Source organism: Homo sapiens, chromosome 5 (genome assembly GCF_000001405.40).
Source record: "Homo sapiens chromosome 5, GRCh38.p14 Primary Assembly".
Classification (NCBI taxonomy): domain Eukaryota; kingdom Metazoa; phylum Chordata; class Mammalia; order Primates; family Hominidae; genus Homo; species Homo sapiens.
Genome location: NC_000005.10, coordinates 177,322,305 through 177,331,013, shown reverse-complemented (window position 1 = coordinate 177,331,013; position 8,709 = coordinate 177,322,305). Strand labels below are relative to the sequence as shown.

At 46.6% G+C, this 8,709-nt stretch overlaps 2 annotated features.

The window, feature by feature from the left end:
- Nucleotides 3,935-4,878: an enhancer, noted in NCBI's record as "NANOG-H3K27ac hESC enhancer chr5:176753137-176754080 (GRCh37/hg19 assembly coordinates)". NCBI's record gives its function as "activates a minimal SCP1, AML or CMV promoter by ChIP-STARR-seq in naive H9 embryonic stem cells {active_cell/tissue: H9 hESC(naive)}" and the evidence as "EXISTENCE:reporter gene assay evidence [ECO:0000049][PMID:30033119]".
- Nucleotides 6,436-6,936: an enhancer, noted in NCBI's record as "H3K4me1 hESC enhancer chr5:176751079-176751579 (GRCh37/hg19 assembly coordinates)". NCBI's record gives its function as "activates a minimal SCP1, AML or CMV promoter by ChIP-STARR-seq in primed H9 embryonic stem cells {active_cell/tissue: H9 hESC(primed)}" and the evidence as "EXISTENCE:reporter gene assay evidence [ECO:0000049][PMID:30033119]".

The following is an 8,709-nucleotide window of genomic DNA, read 5'->3' as shown; positions in this document are numbered from 1 at the left end:
CTGGCTCTGATCCCAACTCTAGCCCTCCTTGGACACCTTGCTGAGCCGATGATCTTGTCTTCCTCGTCCCCTTCCCACTCCCCGTTCAGTTGCATTTGAATCTCCCACCTTAGAAGCCAGCCGTCCCTCCTTTCAGCAGCCAGGCTTTTGGTAATTAACACTATCAAACAGATTATCATTGCAAAAAATATAGAGAGACATGAGTGAGAGTAAGGACTTTACCCTCTGTCTCTCATTCTCCAGAGCTCTTCACTGGTCCACTGTCACCCGCCTCTCGTGTCCTCTGTGTTTCCTCCTTCAACAGGTTAGACGTCTAGAGATTCCACACAGTGACTGAGAGGTTCGAGTTTGTGCTGCTTTCACGGGTTTGGGAGCCTGTTCGTGAAGCCTGAAGAGTAATCATGATCCTCCTTATTGAAGTATTTTATTAACACTTTTCCCAAAGCAGTTCCTTTCCTTGAAAAGGTAGCAGATCGTGTGTTTATGACAGGCCCTGCTTCGGAGCGATTGAGGCACATAACTCATTTCATCCACGACGCTCACCTGTCAGGTGCTGGAGGGCTTTAGGCCAGGTGTGTAGAGCCGAGGCCCAGAGACGAGCTCTCCACGGCTGCTACAATCACGTCATCGGCACCACGCTCACCAGGCTTCACCTTTAATTTTTGGCTCTAAATTGGTCTTCACCGAATTCCTGAATTACTAGGCCAATTAGTGTCCCATACTAGATGGTTCTCAGCCTTGGCTGTGTATTGGAGTTCCCTGGAGAACTGAGAAGAGCCTGCCTTCTTCTCCAGTTCTGGCTGAGTGTGTCAGGTGGAGCTGGGGCAAGGGTGGCTTCAAAAGCCCCTGCAGTGGTTTTAACAGGTACCCAAGCTTGAGCACAAGACGGAGTTAGGGCCCATGCTGTGGCAGCAGGTGTTAAAGGTCCCACGCTGTGGCAGCAGGTGTTAAAGGTCCCACGCTGTGGCAGCAGGTGTTAAAGGTCCCATGCTGTGGCAGCAGGGGTTAAAGTGATCGTGCCGGTCTCTACTTGGCTGTCACGGTGGGCACCCCTTTCCATTGGAACATAGCCTTGTTGTACCTAAGAAAAGTTGATTGTTTCAAAATTCATACCTAGAGGTGCTTCCCTAGAACGATCGATGTGTATTCTGACATCCGCATTTCACACACGCAGGACCGTGATGCCATAGTCTATGTTTTTGCCATGTGTGTCTAAAAATTTGAGGTATTTCATCATACAAAAGTTAAACGTGAATGTGTGGCTATGGACCTGCCGTGCGACGTGAGAAATATCACGGACGCACTTGGATCCCTCTGTCTCCTCCTGCCAAAGGTGATTGCTGCAGGATCTGACTTTTTGTGTCTGTCTGAAAATTTTTACCACAGGGATATGTATCTCTACATACATTGTATTGTTTTGAATTTCTGAAGACTAAGTGGTACATGGACGTATTCCTCAACTTTTGCAATTCAGCATGGTTGGTGAGTCTTTGGATTACATGTGGCTCAAGATGGGTGTTTCTCACTGTGAGGTATGAACAGACTCCAGTTTCTCCATTCTGCTGCTGATTGGAGGTGGTTTAGGGCTTTTGCTCTGCTACATGATACTGCTCTAAGCACTCCTGGATGTGTCTTATTTATTTATTTATTTATTTATTTATTTTTGAGACAGAGTCTTAAACTCTGTTGCCCAGGCTGGAGTGCAGTGGCACAGTCTTGGCTCACTGCAACCTCTGCTTCCTGGGTTCAAGCGATTCTCCTGCCTCAGCCTCCCGAGTAGCTGGGACTACAGGTGTGCACCACCATGCCTGGCTAATTTTTGTATTTTTAGTAGAGAAAGGGTTTCATCACGTTGGCCAGGCTGGTCTCGAACTCCTGACCTCAAGTGATCCACCCGTCTCAGCTTCCCAAACTGCTGGGATTACAGGCGTGAGCCACCGCACCCAGCCCATTTTCAGTTTTACTAGAGGGTGCCTCGCTGCTCTCCAAATCGGGCCGTGACCACAGTGGGGTGGCACCTGCCGAGATCCCCTCTGTCCCTCAGCACCTGATATAGTCAGAGCTTTCCATTTTTGACAGGTGGATGCAAAAGCTTTCGTTTGTTTCTCTGCTAGCCATGTTGGGATGTGTGTGCGTTTATTGGCATCTGTGTTTCTGTGTGGTGGTTTAGTCCGGGCCCTTTCTTCCGGCCGTGTAGGAGTGCCTGTGCGGGGCTCCTCTGGTGATATGCCCTTGGCGCATACCTTCCAGTGTGCCTGGGGGCTTTTGCTTTTCAATGACGTCATTTGATATACAGCCTATAATTTAGTGTGATTTCATAATCTATTCTAAAGATTTTGTTTTTGCTTAAAAGCTTTAAAATTTTGCTTTTCAAATTTGGCATTTAATCGAAGTGGAGTTAAGCTGGCGTAGGGTGTGATGTAGGGAATCCATTTTTCCAATTGTCTCCAGCCAGTTCCAGCACCATTTACCGACCCCTGGGTCCTTCTGCACCCTCTGAGGCGCACACTCAGGTGGCCACGCCACATCTGCTCCTAACCCTGCCCCTCAGCTTCCTCCCCTCTCGGGCTGGAAGGCTATATACTTGGCTGAGCTCCCGGCTCCTTCCAGCTAGGGCGGCCGTGTGCCCACTGCGGCTGGTCAGATGCCCGAGCCTGCCGACGAGGGCCTCCAGTTCCTCTGGGTTTCCCCAGGTGAGGAGATCTAACAGCAGCTGGTGTGGCCGGGCCCGCTCCCGTCTTCCTGTCTGGAATGTGGAAGGGACCCCTGGCATGCAGAACCCCCCGTGTGACCACAAGGGCTGAGTGGAGCACCCGGAGCCTGGTGGAGGGAGAGTCCTTGGCGTGGCTGAGGTGCTGCCCAGCCCGGACTGCCAGCTGCAGGGGTTTTATGTTAAAAAAAAAAATGCCTATTTGTTCAAACTACTGTGAGTCATGTTTTCTGTTCTTTTGTGGCTAAAAGCAGCCCTGCCTTTATCCCCTCCGTGTGGTGAGTTTTCTGACATGTATAGGTCTGCTCCAGACTGCCGCTGATGGTCACAGTCCATTCTGTGCCACACACGGCATTAGGCACTGGGGATACAACAGAGGACAAAAGGGACAAAGATCTCTGTCCCCATGGAGCTCATAGTCTAGTGGAGAGATCGGGTGAAATAAGTATGTTACATAGTGCTTACATTGGTTTCCTAGGGCTGCCATAAAGGACCACAAACTGAGGGGCTTGAACAACAGAAAGTGATTGGCTCTCAGTTCTAGAGGCCGGAAGTCTCAAGTCAGGGTGTTGGCAGAGCTGCGCTGTCTCTGATGGCTGTAGAGGAGAGCCCTTCCCTTCCTGTTCCCGGCTTCTGGCCATTCTCAGCAGACGTGGGAGTTCCTTGGCTCGTAGACACACCACTCCAGTCTCCGATTCCATCATAACGTGGCCATCTTCAGATCATCTTTCCTCTGTATGTCTCCATAGCTCCAGTTTTTTCTTTTCTTACTTTTTTTTTTTTTAATAGAAATGGGGTCTTGCCATGCTGCCCAGGTTGATCTTGGAACTCCTGGGCTCAAGCGATCCACCCGCCTTGGCCTCCTAAAGTGCTGGGATTACAGGCATGAGTTACTGCGCCCGGCCCAAATTTTCTGTTTTTTGTTTTGTTTTTTTTGTTTTTCAAGACGGAGTCTTGCTCTGTCACCTGGGCTGGAGTGCAGTGACCTGATCTTAGCTCACTGCAACCTCCACCTCCTGGGTTCAAGCAATTCTTCTGCCTCAGCCTCCCGAGTAGCTGGGATTACAGGCATGCACCACCAGGATCGGCTAATTTTTTGTATTTTTAGTTGAGACGGGGTTTCTCCGTGTTGGTCAGGCTGGTCTCGAACTCCCAACCTCAGGTGATCTGCCTGCCTCGGCCTCCCAAAGTGCTGGGATTACAGGCACGAGCTACCATGCCTGGCCTAAGTTTTTAAACTTCTGTAGAAACAGGGTCTCACTGTGTTGCCCAGGTTCAAGCAATCCTCCTGAAGTGCAGGGATTACAGGCATGAGTGGCTGTGTCCAGCCTTTTTCTTTCTTTCTTTCTTTCTTTCTTTCTTTCTTTTCTTTCTTTCTTTCTTTCTTTCTTTCTTTCTTTCTTTCTTTCTTTCTTTCTTTCTTTCTTTCTTTCTCTTTCTTTCTTTCTTTCTTTCTTTCTTTCTTTCTTTCTTTCTTTCTTTCTTTCTTCCTTTCTTTCCTTTCTTTCCTTTCTTTCCTTTCTTTCTTTCCTTTCTTTCTTTCTTTTTTTTTTTTTTTCGAGACAGAGTCTTGCTCTGTCGCCCAGGCTGGAGTGCAGTGGCTCAGTCTAAGTTCACTGCAACCTCTGCCTCCTGTGTTCAAGTGATTCTCCTGCCTCAGCCTCCCAAGTAGCTGGGACTACAGGTGCGTGCCACCACACCCGGCTAATTTTTGTATTTTTAGTAGAGACGGGGTTTCACCATGTTGGCCAGGATGGTCTCAAACCCCTGATCTCGTGATGCACTCACCTCGGCCTCCCAAAGTGGTGCAATTACCAGCGTGAGCAACTGCACCTGGCCTCTTTTCTTATTTTAAATTAACTTTTTCCACGTGTTCTGATCCAGGCTCCTTTTCCAAATTAAAAGTGTATATTTAAACATTCCATCTTAGACAGTGTGATAGTCATGAGGTCATAGAAGTAGTTAAGAGGAAAGTTAATCTATAATGAAGATCAAGTTGAAGAGGAAAAGCATCTTTTCTGGAGCCCTAGTCTTTTGCAACATTTTACAAAACAATGTAGGTAAAGAAAAGGCTAATCTATAATCAGAGGAACAAAGGTTACAGCTGCCTAGGTTACAGCTGCCTACCACATGACTCAGCCTCCATAATCACATTCCTTTAAGGCTCAAAGTAATTTAAAGTTCCAACAACATTGATTCTGAATTACTTATTTTTGTAGACCCTTGCAAATGCACCCACAGGCAGCAGATTGCTGGGCACACAGCCATCTGGGGAGTGGACCTCCACTGTCGCTGGGCCCACTGGCATTGGGGACAGCATTTACATGGGAGAGAAATCAGCCACTGTGTATGCATTGTTGCAGGTTTTCTTTTGCTCACAGCCAAACCTAATCCTAACTCATACAAGTGGGAAGTTGTGATCAGAGGGAGAATCTAGTCTGTAGAAGCATTAAATGGTTAAGTTAGCAAATTGAGGAGAAACATCACAGGTTATTTATTTATTTAGAGACAGGGTCTGGCTCTGTCACCCAGGCTGGTGTGTAGTGGTGCCGTCTTGACTCACTGCAACCTCTGGCTGCTGGGTTCAAGTGATCCTTCCACCTCAGCCTCCTGAATAGCTGGGAATAGCTGGGACTACAGGTGCACACCACCATGCCCAGCTAGTTTTTGGCGGTATTTTTGGTATTTTGTTTTGTTTTGTTTTTTGAGATGAGTCTTACTCTGTTGCCTAGTCTCGAGTGCAGTGGTGCAATCTCACCTCACTGCAATCTCAGCCTCCTGAGAAGCTGGGATTACAGTCATATGCCACCATGCCTGGCTAATTTTTGTATTTTTAGTAGAGACAGGGTTTCACCATGTTGCCCAGGCTGGTCGTGAACTCCTGAGCTCAAGCAATCCTCCCGCCTCGGCCTCCCAAATTGCAAGGATTATAGGTGTGAGCCATTGCATCTGGCCAACAAATCAGTCAGCATAGGAGGAGCGGATCTTGTGGAGAGAGAAGGCGTTAGGAGGGAACTAGGCAAACCCTGGATTGACTTGTGTGAAGTCAGGTAGTGAAGATGACCAATATGTAATAAACTGGTGACTCTGGGCCACGTGCCATGCAATGGCACATCCTCATCATCACAGCTGATCTTGGGCACCACTACTTGGTAGAAATCTCCAGAAATCTGGAATCCTGGACCTGGATTCTCTTAGTATGCTGTAGGGGCTATTATATGTAGCCTGTCCTCACCATCATCCTGAAGGGGTAGAACAAGAAATCAACAGAATTTACTTGGAATTTTGGTTCCAAATGGCTGTTAATTAAAAAAAAAAAAAGTGCAATCTCCTGCTTTCCTGGTCTCTTAACTCTCCGATTCTTATATCCCATGTCTTTTGCACTTTCTGATTTTGAGGTATATCTCCTTTAGAAACTCTCCTATAGATGGTTTCGAGGTGGCCGTGGTTTGTCTGCCCCCTCCAAAACTCATGTTGAAACTTCATCTCCAGTGTGGCAGTACTGAGAGGGGAGGCTTTAAGAGGTGACTGGATCATGAGGGCTTTGCCCTCAAGAGATTAATCCACTCATGGATTAATGACTTCAGGGGTTAGTCGCTTAATGGGTTATCATGGGAGGAGAACCAGTGGCTTCATGAGAAGAGGAAGAGAGACCTGAACTAGCATGTGAGCACGCTCAGCCCCCACCCTGTGATGCCCTGTACCAGCTCCAGACTCTGCAGAGTCCCCACCAGCAAGACCTCACCACATGCAGCCCCTCGACCTTGGACTTCCCAGCCTCCAGAATTGCGAGATATTCCTTTTCTTTATAAATAACTCAGTTTCAGGTATTCAGAAAACAGACTAAGAGGCTGGGTGCGGTGGCTCATGTCTGTAATCCTAGCACTTTGGGAGGCTGAAGTGGTAGGATTGCTTGATCTCAGGAGTTCAAGACCAGCCTGGGCAACATTGTGAGACCCTGTCTCTACAAAAAAAAAGAAATTAGCTGGGCGTGGTGGTGCAACTCGGGAGGCCGAGGCACAAGGATTGCTTGAGCCTGAGAGGTTGAGGCTGCAGTGAGCTACGATCATGCTACTGCACTCTCGCCTGGAAATTTTTTTTTCTTTATTTTTTGAGACAGAGTCTCGCTCTGTCGCCCAGGCTGGAGTGCAGTGGTGCAATCTTGGCTCACTGCAAGCTCCGCCTCCCGGGTTCAAGCAGTTCTCCTGCCTCAGCTTCCTGTGTAGCTGGGATTACAGGCGCACGCCACCACGCCCGGCTAATTTTTTTTTTGTATTTTTAGTAGAGATGGGGTTTCACCATGTTGGTCAGGCTGGCCTTGAACTCCCGACCTTGTGATCTGCCCGCCTTGGCCTCCCAGAGTGTTGGGATTACAGGAGTGAACCACCGTGCCTGGCCTTTTTTTTCTTTTTGAGATGGAGCCTCCCTCTGTCACCCAGGTTGGAGTGCAGTGGCACGATCTTGGCTCACTGGCAACCTCCACCTCCAGGGTTCAAGCGATTCTCCTGCCTCAGCCTCCTGAGTAGCTGAGACTATAGGCATGTGCCACCACACCCAGCTAATTTTTTGTATTTATAGTAGAGATGGGGTTTCGCCATGTTGGCCAGGATGGTTTCGAACTCCTGACCTCAAATGATCCGCCCACCTCAGCCTCCCATAGTGCTGAGATTACAGATGTGAGCCACCATACCCTGCTGAGGATCTTTGCATCAGTGTTCATTAAGGAATATTGGCCCGTAGGTTTCTTTTCTTGTAGTGCCTTCGTCTAGCTTTGGTACTGGGGTAATGCTGGCCTCACAGAATGAGGAAGTTTTCCCTTCAAGCTTTTGGAAAAGTTTGAGGATTCGTATTCTTCAAATGTTTGGTATAATTTTACCAGTGAAGGTGTCAGGTCCAGGGATTTTCTTTGTCAAGAGATATTTGATTACTGATTCAGTCTCCATAATAATCATAGGGTCTATTCAGAATTTCTGTTTCTTTGTGATATCATCTTGGTAGGTTTTATGTTCCTAGCAATTTGTCCATGTCATCTAGGTTATCCAATTTGTTGGGATACAGTTGTTCGTAGTACCCTCTTATAATCCTTTTTATTTGCGTAGAATGGGTAGTAATGTTCCTACTTTCATTTCTGATTTTAGTAATTTGAGTCTTCTTGTCTTTTCCTAGTCCATCTAGCCAAAGGTTTGTCAATTTTGTTGATCTTTTCAAATAACCAACTTTTGGTTTCATTAATTTTCTCTGTTGTTTCTCTGTTCTCTATTTCATTGATCTCTGCTTTAATCTGTATTATTTCCTTTTTTTCTGCTATCTTTGTGTTTAGTTAGTTCTTTTTCTAGTTCCTTAAGTTTTTAAGTTAGGTTGTTAATTTGAGATCTTGGCTTTTTTTCCCCTCTTACCATTATTCTCAAGAAATATAAAAATAAACACAATCGTACAGAGAATGAAGCACTGTAAAAGTAAAGCATTGAAGAGTAAATATGAAATATATTGCACAAGAGGGTTGAGATCAAAATACCAGAAATATAAATTATATCAATAAATGTAAATGAACTCATGTAACAAAACATTTTATCAGGCCAGGCGCCAGTTGCTCACACCTGTAACGCCAGCACTTTGGGAGGCTGAGGTGGGTGGATCACCTGAGGTCAGGAGTTCGAGACCAGCCTGGCCAACATGGTGAAACCCCCTCTCTACTAAAAATACAAAAATTAGCCGGGCCTGGTGGTGCGCGCCTGTAATCCCAGCTACCCGGGAGGCTGAGGCAGGAGAATCACTTGAACCTGGGAGGCAGAGGTTGCAGTGAGCCGAGATTGTACCACTGCACTCCAGCCTGGTGACAGAGCGAGACTCTGTCTCAAAAAAAAAAAAAAAAAAAAAAAAAAAAAAAAAATATATATATATATATATATACACACACACACACACACACACACACACACATATATAAAAAACTGTATATAATTATATGTAATTAATATAACAACAAAAATTACATAGAC